This window comes from Homo sapiens, chromosome 1, assembly GCF_000001405.40.
Source record: "Homo sapiens chromosome 1, GRCh38.p14 Primary Assembly".
Classification (NCBI taxonomy): domain Eukaryota; kingdom Metazoa; phylum Chordata; class Mammalia; order Primates; family Hominidae; genus Homo; species Homo sapiens.
In genome coordinates, this window is record NC_000001.11 from 784179 (window position 1) to 801197 (window position 17019).

The 17019-nt window shown below is 40.0% G+C and overlaps 2 long non-coding RNA genes across 2 annotated transcripts in view, besides 2 other annotated features; both read left to right on the forward strand.

Annotated features, from left to right (window-relative positions):
• LINC01409 (long intergenic non-protein coding RNA 1409) overlaps window positions 1-17019 on the forward strand; it is a 31268-nt gene that overhangs the window by 5381 nt on the left and 8868 nt on the right. The window lies entirely within an intron of this gene.
• Window positions 6108-7072: an enhancer, noted in NCBI's record as "OCT4-NANOG hESC enhancer chr1:725666-726630 (GRCh37/hg19 assembly coordinates)". NCBI's record gives its function as "activates a minimal SCP1, AML or CMV promoter by ChIP-STARR-seq in naive H9 embryonic stem cells {active_cell/tissue: H9 hESC(naive)}" and the evidence as "EXISTENCE:reporter gene assay evidence [ECO:0000049][PMID:30033119]".
• Window positions 7104-7670: an enhancer, noted in NCBI's record as "OCT4-NANOG hESC enhancer chr1:726662-727228 (GRCh37/hg19 assembly coordinates)". NCBI's record gives its function as "activates a minimal SCP1, AML or CMV promoter by ChIP-STARR-seq in naive H9 embryonic stem cells {active_cell/tissue: H9 hESC(naive)}" and the evidence as "EXISTENCE:reporter gene assay evidence [ECO:0000049][PMID:30033119]".
• LOC124903817 (uncharacterized) lies at window positions 7420-14903 on the forward strand. Its single transcript, XR_007065339.1, has 2 exons — window positions 7420-8863; window positions 11292-14903. It is a non-coding gene; the product is annotated as an uncharacterized LOC124903817 (long non-coding RNA).

Sequence of the window (17019 nt, forward strand, 5' to 3'; positions counted from 1 at the left end):
AATTAAGATATTACCAGATAGGTTTAACAGCAAATTCCATAAAGTTGGTAAGAAAACAAGAATACTCAAAAAATGGAAAGAAGTAGAAAATAAAAACACTGAGAAGCATAGAATGCAAATTTAGAAAAGAGCTTAAGAGACATATCAGACATGGTAAAAGGTTTAACACACATATAATCAAACTTTCCTAGCTCTGTTCACGGAAAGGGCCTGGGAGCTGCAACACCTCAACAGCAACAAGCACACCTGCTACCTAGAACTTGGTTTCTAAAAACCATCCTCCTCTAAAAGGAAACAGAGCTCTTTGAAGAAACGGTAATTTCAAAGCTAGAGCACAGAAAGTATAAGATGAGCCCAGAATATCTTTTTGTACAAGAAAGTAAGGCAATGCTCAAAGAATGATGGAGACATGCCCAAAAAAAGCAGAGAAGCCAACTTGAAAAGATTCCAACAGGCCAAATATGGGGCGATTTGAACATCAGAATAAAATGGTGACAGTCACAGAATTATAACCCAGTGAAGAAAGGAATTCATGACATCATATTAATATAAATAATAATTGAATATTGAAATTCGTTAAAGGAAATGAGATATTTATGTAGTCTTAAGGTATCTTCTCACAAATTATGTATTACTTACAAAGGGGAAAAGTGCACCTTGACGTGAGAATCTTGGCAGAACTACTTTAATCAAGAGGTTTAGTTGAGCATTATCAGTAACAGAGTAAATCAAAATCATAAGCCACTTGATAGATACAATGAGAAAATAAAGCATCACTTCTGTGACACCCTATAAAAAATGAATCTAATAATGAGGAAACATGAGAAAAAACCAAACTGAGGGATATTCTACAAATAAATTGTCCTGTAATCTTCAAAAATTTCAAGGTTATAAAAGTCAAGAAAAACAGACAATCTTTTCCAAACTCAAGGGAACTAAAGAGGCATGAAATCTAAATGCTTAATTCTGGATTTCATCTTTTTGATATAAAGAACAGTATTGAGACTATTGATAAAATTTGAGTGGGGTCTGAAGATTCATTGGTAGTAGTAAGCTCAATTTAATTTCCTCACTTTGATCATTGTACTCTGGTTTTTAGAATGTTCTAGTCAACAGGTAATATGAATTAAACTAATCGAGGGTGACAGGGCATTATATCAGCCACTTATCAACAAACATTTCAGAGAAAAATAGTTCCTTGTATTGTTATTGCAATTTTCTTTGAGATTGCCCCCTCCGAAACAGTAAGAACTTTCAAAAACAAACAAAGATATCAAGCCACAGATTCAAAGTGCTATAAACTCCACGCATGATTAGTTCTCACTCATAGGTGGGAATTGAACAATGAGAACACATGGACACAGGAAGGGGAACATCACACACCAGGGCCTGTTGTGGGGTAGGGGGAGGGGGGAGGGATAACATTAGGAGATATACCTAATGTTAAATAACGAGTTAATGGGTGCAGCACACCAACATGGCACATGTATACATATGTAACTAAACTGCACATTGTGCACATGTACCCTAAAACTTAAAGTATAATAAAAAAAAATCATACCTAGATATATCACAATAAAACTTGACCTCAGAGTTTCTAGCTCTCAAGACCAATTCCTCCCATCCTGCCACTAACAGATTTCTCCAAACATCTCTGCACCTCAGAGTGCAAATACAATCAAACATTTCACTCCATTGATAGGAAGCATCCTTCACTATCTTCTACCAAGGGCTTCCTCCTTTGGTGCTTCAAAATTTTTTATGAAAGGAACATCCATTTTATTCAAAGCACCTCCAAACCTGCAATCCTAAGTTCCAGGCAACTCAATCCCAAAAATCCACTGTAGATGCCCAAAGGCTGGGGTGTTCGGTCTTCAACATTTTTGCCTTTGTGGCTCCCAGTCAAGATAGAGCTGCACCAAGTCCAATTCCATTCCTCATCACAGATGATTTTTTCTACTTTAAGATCAGAACTATACAAGCTTCTTGCTTTGTGTCAGCATGCTGTTGTACCCATGGGCAAATTCTTAGGTAAGACAAAAACACAGTCCCAAGGGCAGGTAGTAATTTTTTCAGAAAAAGGTAAGGCAATCATTTATCTCAGTCTGCCCAGGACAGTCCCAATTTACACATGTATATTCTCCCAATCTGTAGGCTGTCTTTTCATTTTGTTGATTATTTCACTTAATTTTTTATTATTTATTTATTTTATAGAGACAGATCTCATTATGTTGCCCAGGGTGATCCTTGATCTCCTGGCCTCAAGTGATCCTCCAACCTTGGTCTCCCAAAGTGCTGGGATTACAGATGTGAACTACCACACCCAGTCAACGTGCAGAAGGTTTTCAGTTTGATGTAGTCTGATGTAGTCTCATGTATTTATCCTTCTTGTTGTTGCCTGAGCTTTTGGTGTGATATCCAAAAATATCATTGCCAAGATCAATATCAAGAAACTTTCCCCCTATGTTTCTTACAGAAATTTTATGGTTTCAGATTTTTCATCCATTTTGAGTATATTTGTGTGTATGATGTAAGATAAGGGTCCAGTCTCCCCAGTGTTGGATATCCAATTTTCATAACACCATTTATTGAAGAGATTATTCTTTCTCCACTGTGTTTTCTTGATGTCCTTGTCAAAAATTAGTTGACTTTTATATGCTTGGGTTTATTTCTGGGCTCTATTCTGTTTCATTGCTTTACATCTCTGTTTTCATGCCAGTGCCACAGTGTTTTGATTACTATAGCTTTGTAATATAATTTGAAATCAGAATGTGTAATACCTATAACTTTGTTTTTTGCTCTAAAGATTTATTTATTTATTTATTTTTGCCATTTCAGGTCTTTTGTGGTTTCATATGAATTTCAGAATTGTTTTTCCTATTTCTGTGAAAAATGCCATTGACATTTTGATAGGGATTGTGTTGAATCTATATATTGCTTTGGATAGTATGGATGTTTTAACACTATTAATTGTCCCAATCCATGAACATGAAATATCTTTCCATTCACTTGTGTCTTCTTCAATTTCTTTCATCAATGTTTTATAGTTTTCATTGTGCAGATCTTTCACTTACCTGGTTAAATTTATTCCTACAATTTCATTCTTTTTGATACTAGGGTAAATTGAATTATTTTCTTGATTTCTATAAATTATTTCTTATAATACTCATACTTGTCAGGCCTCTGGGCCCAAGCCTGCATGTATACATCCAGATGGCCTGAAATAACTGAAGAATCACAAAAGAAGTGAAAATGGCCAGTTCCTGCCTTAACTGGTGACATTACCTTGTGAAATTCCTTCTCCTGGCTCAGAAGCTCCCCCGCTGAGCACCTTGTGACCCCCGTCCCTGCCCACCAGAGAACAACCCCCTTTGACTGTAATTGTCCACTACCCACCCAAATCCTATAAAACAGCCCCACCCGTCTCCCTTCACTGACTCCTTTTTCAGACTCAGCCTGCCTGCACCCAGGTGAAATAAACAGCCTTGTTGCTCACACAAAGCCTGTTGGTGGACTCTCTTCACACAGATGCGCGAGACAATACTAACACTAATATTATTTTGATTCGTCAGATGGAAAAGTAAGGCTTGAAGAGGTTAGAAATAACTTTTCCAAGGTCACAGAGCTAATTGCCACAACTATAACTCAGCTCTAGTATGTGAACAAAGATTTTTTTATACCAAACCAAAATTATTTATTTCTACTCCACTATTCTATCATGGTGCATTTTAGGTGCTAATGGGAAAATCTGCTCTATGATGGTGTCCAATAGACAATTAAAATTCAAATCTGGAAATGAGATCTGGACTGAAGATTTTTTTAAAAATTAGCCCTCATCACATGTAGTCAGCTGTAGAAATCCTTAGCATGGCTGAAATTTTTCATATTAAGACAAGACTAGAACTTGGCCAGGTGTGGTGGCTCACACCTGTAATCCCAGCACTTTGGGAGGCTGAGGTGGGTGAATCACCTGAGGTCTGGAGTTTGAGACCAGCTGACCAACATGGTGAAACACCATCTCTACTAAAAATACAAAAAATTAGCCAGGCGTGGTTGCACATGCCTGTAATCCTAGCTACTTGGGAAGCTGAGGTAGGAGAATTGCTTGAACCCAGGAGGTGGAGGTTGCAGCAAGCTGAGATCGTGCCATTGCACTGCAGTCTGGGCAAAAAAAGCAAAACTCTGAAGAAAGAGAGAGAGAGGGAGAGAGGGAGAGAGAAAGGAAGAGACGATGAGAGACAGAGAGAAGGAGAGAGAAAGTACAAAAGAACGAATGAACGAACAAACTAGAAATCGAGCAGGAACCTTGGAGGACCTATTGCTTAAGGTGTGGGCCAAAGAAAGTAAGTTAGGGCAAGAGACTAAGGTATGCCAGAGACCCAGGACAAAACACAGTGCAGAGTGATGTCACAGAGCCAAATGGGAGTGCAAGCTATGGCAAGCCCTCCCAAGTATGTGTGGGTTAAATGTAATTAAATTCAAAATCTCTCAACCCAAAAATTTTCTCCACAAAGGAAGTAGAGAAACAAAACAGTTCATTATTGAATAAGCATTAAACCAGAATGTGATGTGTGAATATAATGGAATGGAATGGAATGGAATGGAATGGAATGGAATGGAATGGAATGGAGTGGAGTGGAATGGACCCGAATGGAATGGAACGGAACGGAATGGAATGGAACGCACTCGAATGGAATGGAACGGACATGAATGGAATGGAATGGAACGGACACGAATGGAACGGAACGGAACGGAATGGACTTGAGTGGGATGGAATGGAATTGAATGGACTCTAATGGAATGGACATGAATGGAATGGAATGGACTCAATTGGAATGCAGTTGAATTGAAAGGATCCAAAAGGAATGCAATGGAATGCATTGGAATGGAATGCAATGGACTTGAATGGGATGGAATGGAATGGAATGGACTCTAATGGAACGGAATGGAATGGAACCGAATGGAATGGAATGGACTTGAATGGAATAGAATGGAATGGAATGGACTCGAAAGAAATGAAATGGAATGGATTCAAATGGAATGGAATGGACACAAATGGAACCAAATGGAATGGAATGGACTCGAATGGAATACAATGGAATTTAATGGAATGGACTCTAATGGAATGGAATGGACTAGAATGGAATAGAACGGAATAGGCTCGAATGGTATGGAATGCAATGGAATGGACTCGAATGGAATAGAACAGAATAGACTAGAATGGTATGGAATGCAATGTAATGGACTCGAATGGAACGGAATGGAATGGACAAGAATTGAATTGAATGGACTGGAATGGAATGGAATGGACTCCAATGGAATGTGGTGGGATGGATTCAAATGGAATGGAATGGAATTGAGTGGATTTGAATTGAATGGAATGGAATGGTATGGAATGGAATGGAATGGAATGAAATGGACTAGAATGGAATGGAATGGACTCGAATGGAATGGAATGGAATGTACTTGAATTGTATGGAACGGAATTGAATGGACTCGAAAGGAATGGAATGGAATGGAATGGAATGGAATGGAATGGAATGGACTCGAATGGAATGGAATGGAATGAACTCCAATGGAATGGAATGGACTCGAATAGAATGGAATGGAATGGAAAGGACTCGAGTGGGATGGAATGGAGTGGAATGGACTCGAATGGGATGGAATGGAATGGAATGGACTCGAATGGAATGGAACCGAAAGGAATGGAACGGAACGGAACGGAACGCAATGGAATCGACCCGAATGGAATGGAATGGAATGGAATGGAATGGAATGCAATGGAATCGAATGGGATGGAATGTATTGGAATGGACTCGAATGGCATGGACAGGAGTGGACCCGAATGAAATGGAATGGAATGGAATGGTCTCGAGTGGAATGGGATGGGATGGGATGGGATGCGATGGGATGGGATGGGATGGGATGGGATGGGATGGGATGGATTTGAATGGAATAGAATGGAATGGAATGGAATGGAATGGAATGGAATGGAATAGACTCGAAAGGATTGGAATGGAATGGACTCGAATGGAATGGAATGGACATGAATGGAACGGAATGGAATGGAATGAACTCGAATGGAATACAATGGAATTTAATGGAATGGACTCTAATGGAATGGACTTGAATGGAATAGAATGGAAGAGACTCGAATGGAATGGAATACAATGGAATTTAATGGAATGGACTCTAATGGAATGGACTTGAATGGAATAGAATGGAAGAGACTCGAATGGAATGGAATGCAATGGAATGGACTCGAATGGAATGGAATGGAATTGACTCAGATGGAATGGAATGGAATGGACTCGAAAGGATTGGAATGGAATACAATGGAATGGTCTCGAATGGAATGGAATGGAATGGACTCGAATGGAATGGACTGCAATGGAATGGACTCAAATGGAATGGAATGGAACTGACTCGAATGGAATTGAATGGAATGGACCCGAATGGAATGGAATGGACTGGGCTCAAATGGAATGGAATGGAAAAGAATGGAATGGAATAGAATGGACTGGAATGTAATGAGTTTGGAATGGACTTGAATGCAATGGAATGGAATGGAATGGAATGGAATGGACTCAAATGGAATAGCATGGAATGGAATGGACTCAAATGCATTGGAATGGAATGGACTCGAATGGAATGGAATGGACTCGAATGGAATGGAGTTGAATGGACTCATATGGAATGGAATGGCATTGAATGGACTCGAATGGAATAGAATTATAACAGAATGGAATGAACCCGAATGGAATGGAATGGAATGGAATGGAATGGAATGGAATGGAATGGAATGGAATGAAAGGTGCTCGAATAGAATGGAATGGAATGGAATAGAATGGACTCAAATGGAATGGAATATAATGGAATGGGAATGGGAATGGGAATGGAAGGGATGGGATGGGATGGGATGTAATGGAATGGAATGCAATGGAATGGACACCTATGGAATGCAGTTGAATTGAATGGACCCGAAAGCAATGGAATGGAATGCAATGTACTCGAATGGAATGGACTCGAATGGAATGGAATGAACTCGAATGGAATGGAATGGAATGGACTCGAATGGAATGGAATGGAATGCACCCAAATGGAATTAAATGTAATGGAATGGACTTGAATGAAATGGCAAGAATGGACTCGAATGGAATGGAATGGAATGGAATCGAATGGAATCGAATGGAATGACATGGAATGGATTCGAATGGAAAGACATGGAATGGACTCGATTGGAATGGGTTGGGATGGAATGATCTAGAATGTAATGGAATGGAATGGACTCAAATGGAATAGAATGGAATAGAATGGACTCGAATATAATGGAATGAAATTGGCTCGAATGGAATGGAATGGACTTGAATGGAATGGAATGGAATCGAATGGAATGGAATGGAATGGAATGGAATGGAATGGAATGGAATGGAATGGAATGGACTCGAATGGAATGGAAAGGAATGGACTCAAATGGAATAGAATTTAATGGAATTACAAACCACAGTGATATAACACACATGCATGAAGATTTCTAACATGCCATCCTAAATTAAGTCACTGTATCAGTCAGAGTCCAAGTATAGGAAACAGTCACTACCCATGCAAACCTGAAGAGACCTTCATACAAGGGAGCTGAGGCAGCCGCAGCCTGCAGCTCTGTCTTCTAGTCTTGCAGGCATTCATTTAGTTAGTGGAAGCATATCTCCTCCCAGAGCCCAGGCTGCAAGAGTCTGAAATGGAGCTTTTAGCTTTCCAGCCTCTGTATCAAAAGGGCACACCAGAAAGAGGCTAGAATGAATGGTTGGGCACTAACAAATATTTTCACAACCTAAGCCCATACTCGCAGTTGTTTGCTGAACAGACAATCAATAAATCAAACAGCCCTTCCATGTAGAAATTAAGAAGGAAACACAACACCAAAACTCATTATTAAATAGCATTTTGTATTTGAAAACTCATTATTAAATAGCAAATAAATTGCACTAAAATACAAAATTGTAGAATTTGTATTCTGGGAAGCCACAGTAACAAATCCCTGTGACAGAACCCACGAAGTAGAGGTCTCCTGTGGGAATGATGACCGAGGCCCTCGCCGCTGCTCCACCTGCCCCTCCAGGGATGCCCTGCTTTTCCAGTTGCCCCTACTCTGATGTGCATCATGGCAGGAAAAAGTGGGCTGCTGCTTTCCTTTAATGCTTTTTGTCCCACTTTATTTTTTACTTTTGCCTAGTATATCTTTTCATTCTTTTATTTTCAACTTTTGTAAATCTCTGTTTTAGGTGGGCTTCTTACGTACAACTTGGAGTTGGGTTTCACTTTTTGATTCAATCTGAAATCTTTTACTTTTACCAACCTTCAGGTTATGTGTATAAAGTTATGTGTTTACATGTATAGATACAATGTTTGGTCTTACTTTTATGACATGTTTTTGTAGCTTTTTGAAAAAGTTTGTGTTCTCTCTGTAGTTCTTCTGAAATTTAGAAATGTTTGCACTATTTTGTACTAGGGGTTACTTTTGGAATTTTAACTCTATGTAATTCCCTCTCCTTCGGAATCCTCATACAACACATCTTAGCCTGTTAGTTTCCTGTTCCACACTGTGATAAAACTGTCATTCATCTTGCTCCTTCTTCCTTCCATCCCTCTCCTCTACAACTTGATTTTAGTGAATAACATCTTACTGCCTCCCTGTGATTATAGGTGAGACAGTCAACAAACCTCTAACCACCGACCTTTTCTCCTCTGCCCTCCACTCACACTCTGCTCCATCACCCTCAGCCACACAGCTGACGCTGTAGAGATTCACTGACATCCAGTCTGATGGACACTGTTTCTCCAGCCGAAACTGCTCATGAGAACAGTGTGTATTCCCTGAGTTCTCACATGATCAATAGTGTTTGTTTGCAGACTGGATACAAAAGATGGTTTGACTGGACATAAAATTCATGGGCCATCCTTTCTTCCTGGAGGATCCCATAAGTAAGGATTACTCCACTATCTGAAGAATTTGGAGAAATTTGAAGCCACCCTGATCTTTTCCCTCCGTAAGAGATGACATGTTTGTTTACCCATTGGGAGGTTCTTGCTTCATCTTCAGAGTTTAATAATTCCTGTAGGATATGGCACACTCATAACCTGTTCTCAGTCAACCTTCCCCAGCATAAAATTTGCCCTCTCACAATGTACACTTCCATCTATTTTTACCTGAGCAGAATTTTCCTGAACATTATCTTTAAATATTTGTTCTGTCCTTTTGTTTTGTTTTCCTGTTTGAAGATTCCAATGATAAATATGCTGGAACCCCTCTCCCTGTTCTCTTCAGCTGTAATTTTCTTTCTAGTTCCTTTTAAACTCATGATTACGGTTTCATTCTTATTAATTCTCTCATTCGTATTTTTCCATCACCTTTTTTGTGTTTCCCAAAACATCTGTCTTCTCCTGGGCCCTTCCAATCGCACCTTCACCTCTGTGGTGGTTCTCCTGGCTGCTGCCATCCTTTCTTCTGCCAACTTGACTTTGTCTCCTGCTGTCTCACTTGGTTGTACAGGTTGAGCATCCCTAATTCCAAAATCCAGAATCCTCCAAACTCCGGAACTTTTTGAGCATGGACATGATGCCACAAGTGGAAAATTCCATACTTGACCTCATGTGATGGGTTGAACAAAATTATTAAAAATACTGTATAAAATTACCTTCAGGTTATATGTATAAGGTGTATGTGAAACATACATGAATTTCGTGTTTAAGCTTGTATCCCAAGTTATCTCATTATGTATACGTAAATATTCCAAAATCTGAAAAAATCCAAAATCTAAAACACTTCCAGTTCTAAGCATTTGGGATAAGGGATACTCAACCTCATTAAAATCTCTTTTCTGTTTTGTGGCATTCCTGCACTGGGATCTTCTGCCACAGAACTGCTTCATGAGTTTCCTGTTTTTTTCATTTATGATGAACTGTCTGGTCATGATTCCATCCTGCTTCACAGACACATTTCCCACAATTTCCTTAGAGAATATCCATGCAGTGATGGTCACCTTCTCTAACAGGCATTTCAGAGTGAGGTGGGACGTTCTAGGGCACCTGTTTTGCAGATGCCCTCAGGGTGGGGGAAGGGCAGCTTCCAGCCTTCCCAGTTCCAGCACTCTCTCCCCCAGCCGCTACCTGCATGTGAATCCCTGGGAGACCCCACAGCCCATGTCTCTGAGTAAAACTGGATCCAGGAAGCCCTTTGCTTTCAGTGGTCCTCCCTGGAACTTCTGCACTCTGCAAGCTGGAGTTGAACATCTGCGACTCAGCCTCTCAGTGCACAGGGTATGTGGGGCTCGACTTCTAGACCTGGCCCTGACGAGTGCTTTTGTTAGCCTGAGCCCTTCTGCTCAGTTCCGCCTATACTATCGCTGCCCAGGCTTAGCTGCTTTTGGTAAGCCTCATGCACATTTTAGAGTCTGTGAATTGCATCTGCCTCTTATTTCTCTGAAAATGGAGTTTTTCATCCCTTCCTTCCAATTCTCCTTCCAGCCTTTCTTGATTTCCAGAATGAGAAATCATTAAGTCATATACTGAGCCACAAATAACATTATAAATGTGACAATTACATGATAATCTTTGGGGGGAAAACATTCTGTGATTTCTAACATATTTACATAAAAATATCTTACACTAAAACACACCAGTTGAGGGCACTGGCCAGAGATAAGATTAGGTTAAGGCCAAGCAAAGCTGAGAAGACCATTGTTAAAATTTCAATCCTGTTCCTTTATCTTTTCAAATTAACTGAATATTGTTATTAAATTTCTTGTTTTAGTGTCGAATAGCACCTTTTCCCTGCCTCACTTTAGAATCAATTTAGAGACAAAGGATTCAGGCCAACTGAGGTCATCAGCATTATCGCTAATAATAGCTGGACTGGCGGATGCGATTCAGATTCACACAACAATGGATTTCCTAATCTGAATCCTAGACTGAGATGAAGCCAGCCAGCCGTAAGCATTGCTTAATAACCAAAGCCTCCCCAGATAGGCTTCTTGCCCTACAGCACTGAAGACATGAAAGAAACAGACCAAAATGTACAAATATCTTTTATTCCTCAAAGGAAAAAGAAGAGTTACACATGCCTGTTTCTCACCAATAAGAGGGGTCAGGGCAGAGTGAGTCTGGGAGAGAGAGTTCTACCACCACGGTTCCCAAAGCATCGTCTAGGGGCCTGTTAGGGGAGCCCGAGGTCTAAACTATTTCCACAGTTTCACTAAGATAAGATTTTCCTTTTCCATCCTCACATTCGTTAGTGTGCAGTGAAGTGCTCCAGAGGCCCCAGCATGCTACATTACAGAAGACTGAACTCAGGAGAGATGAGGAATAATCCCCTCCATCACACCAGACACCAGGAGGGTGTGCCAAGGTGTGAGACATACAGTCCTTACTCTTTTTTTGTTTTGTTTTGTTTTGTGAGACGGAGTTTCACTTTTGTCCCCCAGGCTGGAGTGCAATGGCCCGATCTCGGCTCACTGCAACCTCTGCTTCCTGGGTTCAAGCGATTCTCCAGCCTCAGCTTCCCGAGCAGCTGGCATTACAGGTGCATGCCACCATGCCCGGCTAATTTTCTGTATGCCTGGCTAAGTTCTGTATTTTTAGTAGAGACAGGTTTCACCATGTTGGCCGGGCTGGTCTCAAACTCCTGATCTCAGGTGATCCACCCACCTCGGCCTCCCAAAGTGCTGGGATTATAGGCGTGAGCCACTGCACCCAGCCCAGTCCTTACTTTTAAATAAATGGAGAAATATTTTAAAAATTGTTTTAATTTCTAATGTGGCAAACATTAATAGATATAACTCACATGACCAAAATCTCTTTGGGGTCCTCAGTAATTTTAAAAAGTGAAAAGGACCCCTGAGACAACATTTGGGTTTGGAACTGCTGCTCCACTAGGGGAAGAGATACCAGAACAGAGAATATGTGTTCCCTGGGAGATAAGGCCTTCCCGACTACCTCCCCTCCTATCATCGAAATAAGTTTTCTACATTTCTTTAATATCATGTTTTAAAATTCCTTTTAAAAGACTGAAATCATCAGCAGAAGGCACGGGATTAGCTTAGCACAGTCAGTTTAGACTAGTTACCCACAGGGGACTACAGAATGGACATCACGAGGCATACATAAGCATAGAGGTGAGAAGGGCCGTGTTCACAGTTGACAAGATTACATTTCAGGTTAAACTGGTAACTAAGATAACAGGGAAAAAGACAATTAACAAAGAAACTGTAATCGTCCATAAGCCTAATTAGCCATAAAGCAAAGTCTGTTGGGAATTTAATGAACATTTGTTAAAAACACAAATATTATAGGAAGTTTTTTATACAGTCATGGGTCGCTTAACAAGGGGGATACAATCTGATCCGAGAAATGCATTGCTAGGTAATTTCCTCATTGTGTGAACATCACAGAGTGTATTACACAACACCTACACAGCTAGGCTACAGACCTATACAACATATTAATGCACTGAACAGCAACTGTAACATAATGGCAACTATCTGTGTATCTAAATATATCTAAACATAGGAAACGTACAGTAAAAAAAGGAAACAATCTTATGTGGCCACTACACTACACGCGGTCGGTCATTGACCAAAACATCGTTATGTAGTGCATGACTGCATATCTCCTCAAATCTGACAATTCTAAACAAGTAAAGATGTGGAAGAATTAGATAAACAGAAAGAAAGTACATCCTTCAAATAGAGAATCTGTATTTTTTTCACACATCAATAGAATATTTACAAAAATCAATTATAAAGAAGGCCACAAAGGAAAACTTAATCATTTCAAAGAATTAGAGATCTTAAAGGCCAAACTCTCTGGTGGTAATATAATAAAACTAGAATTCAATAAAGTTAAATAAAATCACAGCTATTTGAAATTCGAAGTCCACTTCTGAACACCCTTGGATCTGGGAGCAAATTGGCACTGCATGTGTGCCTGGGCTCCTGAAGGGCCTCACATACATGGGGAAGGGCAGAGAAAGAGAAACAACAACATCCACTACCTCTATTTTTAAAGTCAGCCTTACTACAAAATACAGAAAGTATTCTTCACTGGGCAGACCAAATCAACTTTGCTCAATCTTCGCCTTTGGGTTCCTTTAGGTTTATAATGAACTGTAAGCATTTACTGAGTGATTATTATAAAGGCACCATTTGAAGTACCTGATGCCCTTTTAATGCTGTAATGCCCCTGTGAAGTAGGTCTTACTATTATCCCTGCTCTAGAGATGAGAAAACTGAGGCAGGGAGAGATGAAGAAGCTGGCCCCAAGGCCACACCACTGAGGAGGGAGGGGCCAGACCTGGAGAGCAGGGGGATCCCACAATCTGTGCTTGTGCCTTCCTGCTCTGCTGCTTCCCAGCTAGCGTGTGTGCTGGACACAGCCCTCAGTGATCTCAACTTTGATTATCTAATTTTAAAAAGACTTCTCAAGTTTATTGTCTTTTACAAAAAAGGGATGTAATCTAGCAAGCCAAAGCAGAACCAAGCAGACTTTGTAGTTTTCATCAATTTTCTGGACGCTCCAGCCACTTTCCTCAGGTCCTTTAGCAATGTGTGGACTGCCCGCCCACCGCTGCCCCGAGGTAGGGAAGCACCACACTACAACCTCATGCAGGCTGGATTAAAACATGCCCTCCACTTCAGGCTTAGGAACCAGCGCCCCTCCTACAGCTCACAAGTTGCTCAAGCAGTGGTCTGTGAGAAGTGATTCTATTTTTGGGGTTGTCCCTTTTCTCTGCTTTTCTTGGGAACCATTTTGACTCTGTCAAATGTTCACTGACTTCTAGCACTGGCAGAAAGAACGTCTGCTTTTTTATCTGAAACTGAACTGTTACACAACTTATAATTTTATTTTGGTAAAAGCATTCTTAGTTGCTGTGTTTAGTCATACTCTACAAATTATCTTGTTGGTAGGATAAATATGGTGAGAATTAAAGAAAAATGAAGATGGTAGTGGACATTTGCAGACTATTATCAATACCGGCATTTCAAACTTCCAATATAATTCGGATACTTGCCTGGAGGACAAACTTTTTTTGGCATGCCGTATAATGAGGAGCCTTATATTCCCAGTGTGCTCAAACTGCCCTGACACCACCTATCCACCGTCGTCAGCAATCTATGTTCAATGTTTCTTAAAAACATCAGTTACAAGGTCAAATTTAATTCAACTGAGGTCAGACTCTCAGGGGAGCTGAGGAGCACTTCCTTCAATGGAAATGGCCATTTCTGAGTGGTGACAACACTGTCATTTCTTGGACCTTCTTTAACAAATCTGTTCTCAGGAGCATTAACATACTTTGCTAATACATTTTAATCTGGCATTTTTATGGGGGTAATTATAGGAAATGCCTGGAATTAAATAGCCTACAACCAATTCTTGGATCAACAACTAGGAAAACTGAAAAATATATATGTAAATATATCTTTTTCTGTGTAAGAAAAGTCCTGCTAACTTAGGAAATTAGAGGATATCTTTGTGTAGAATCTTTTTATAAAGTGGAAATAGGCCAGGCATGGTGGCTAACGCCTGCAATCCCAGCACTTTGGGAGGCCGAGGCAGCCAGATCACCTGAGGTCAGGAGTTCAAGACCAGCCTGACCCATATGGCAAAACCCCCTCTCTACTAAAAATACAAAAATTAGCCAGGTGTGGTGGCAGGTGCCTGAAATCCCAGCTACTCGGGAAGCTGAGGCAGGAGAATCACTTGAACCCGGGGGGCGGAGATTGCAGTGGGCCAAGATTACACCACTGCACTCCAGCCTGGGCGACAAAGCGACTCTGTCTCAGAAAAATACAAAATAAAAAAATAAAGTGGAAATAACTTCCTCTGCTTCTAACTATGCAGTTTGCTTGGAAAAAAAAAAAAAAGTAACCTGTAGGTGTAGTACAACTATCAGCACAAATGTAATTATCTTAGAGTATCTTAATAGTTCCTACTTCAAGTAGAACTTATGAAGGAGTTTAACTGTGGTAAAAAAAAAAATAATTGGAGTAACTTAGAAAACATTTATATATACAATAGTTGGTTTGTATGCTCAGTCACTCATTCATTTTAGGAATAACAAGTGCCTACTACTTGCCAGGTGCTTGGGATATAGCAGGGCCTACTGAATAAATTATTATACAACAGTAAATTAGCATTGGATTGTGTTGCTTAAAACAACACTCACCAGAGCAAACAAAAGCCTGATTAGCAATATGATCTGAAATTTTAAAAACAGCCCTTTTCAACAGTTCCATCTAATTTGCCAGGTCATTATTTTATAATGTCATATGGGATTGCTGGGTCAAATAGTATTTCTGGTTCTAGATCCTTGAGGAATCACCACACTGTCTTCCACAATGGTTGAACTTATACTCCCACCAACAGTGTAAAAGCATTCCTATTTCTCCATGTCCTCTCCAGCATCTGTTGTTTCCTGACTTTTTAATGATAGCCATTCTAACTGGTGTGAGATGATATCTCATTGTGGTTTTTATTTGCATTTCTCTAATGACCAGAGATGAGCTTTTTTTCATGTTTGTTGGCTGCATAAATTTCTTCTTTTGAGAAGTGTCTGTTCATATCCTTTACCCACTTTTTGATGGGGTTGTTTTTTTCTTGTAAATTTGTTTAAGTTCTTTGTAGATTCTGGATGTTAGCCCTTTGTCAGATGGATAGATTGCAAAAATTTTCTCCCATTCTGTAGGTTGCCTCTTCGCTCTGATGATAGTTTCTTTTGCTATGCAGAAGCTCTTTAGTTTAATTAGATCCCATTTGTCAATTTTGGCTTTTGTTGCCATTGCTTTCGGTGTTTTAGACATCAAGTCTTTGCCCGTGCCTATGTCCTGAATGGTATTGCCTAGCTTTTCTTGTAGGGTTTTTATGGTTTTAGGTCTTATGTTTAAGTCTTTAATCCATCTTGAGTTAATTTTTGTATAAAGGTGTAAGGAAGTGGTCCAGTTTCAGTTTTTTGCATATGGCTAGCCAGTTTTCCCAACACCATTTATTAAATAGGGAACCCTTTCCCCATTGCTTGTTTTTCTCAGGTTTGTGAAAGATCAGATGGTTGTAGATGTGTGGCGTTATTTCTGAGGCCTCTGTTCTGTTCCATTGGTCTATATATCTGTTTTGGTGCCAGTATCATGCTGTTTTGGTTACTGTAGCCTTGTAATATAGTCTGAAGTCAGGTAGTATGATGAAAAGATTATAAATCATTCTACTATAAAGACACACGCACACGTATGTTTATTGCAGCACTGTTCACAATAGCAAAGACTTGGAACCAACCCAAATGCCCATCAGTGATAGACTGGATAAAGAAAATGTGGCACATATACACCATGGAATACTATGCAGTCATAAAAAAGGATGAGTTCATGTCCTTTGCAAGGACGTGGATGAAGCTGGAAACCATTATTCTCAGCAAACTAACACGAGAACAGAAAACCAAACACCACATGTTCTTATTCATAAGTGGGAGCCGAACAATGAGAACACATGGGCACAGGGAGGGGAACATCACACACCAGGGCCTGTCGGGGGGTGGGGGGCTAGGGGACGGATAGCATTAGGAGAAATACCTAATGTAGATGACGGGTTGATGGGTGCAGCAAACCACCATGGCATGTGTATACCTATGTAACAAACCTGCACATTGAGCATATGTATACCAGAACTTAAAAGTATAATTTAAAAAATTTTTTAAAAAGTCATATGATGCATTTAAGAAAGTCACTTAATTTACATCAGAGGAAAATCAAAGTTTATAGACTTAGGAAATAAAGTCGTAATGAAGAAGCTCTTCACGGCTGTCAGGACAGCTACGTTTTTGGTCTCTGTCCTTGATTCCATTGTGACCTTCAGCCCATCTCTCTGGGCCCCATTTTCTTGTCTTTACCTCTTGGGTCATAAATGGATCTCCATGCAGCTGATATCCCTCTGCCTAAATCCTCCTCAAAAGAAAATCAAAATAGTGGCTAACACAGA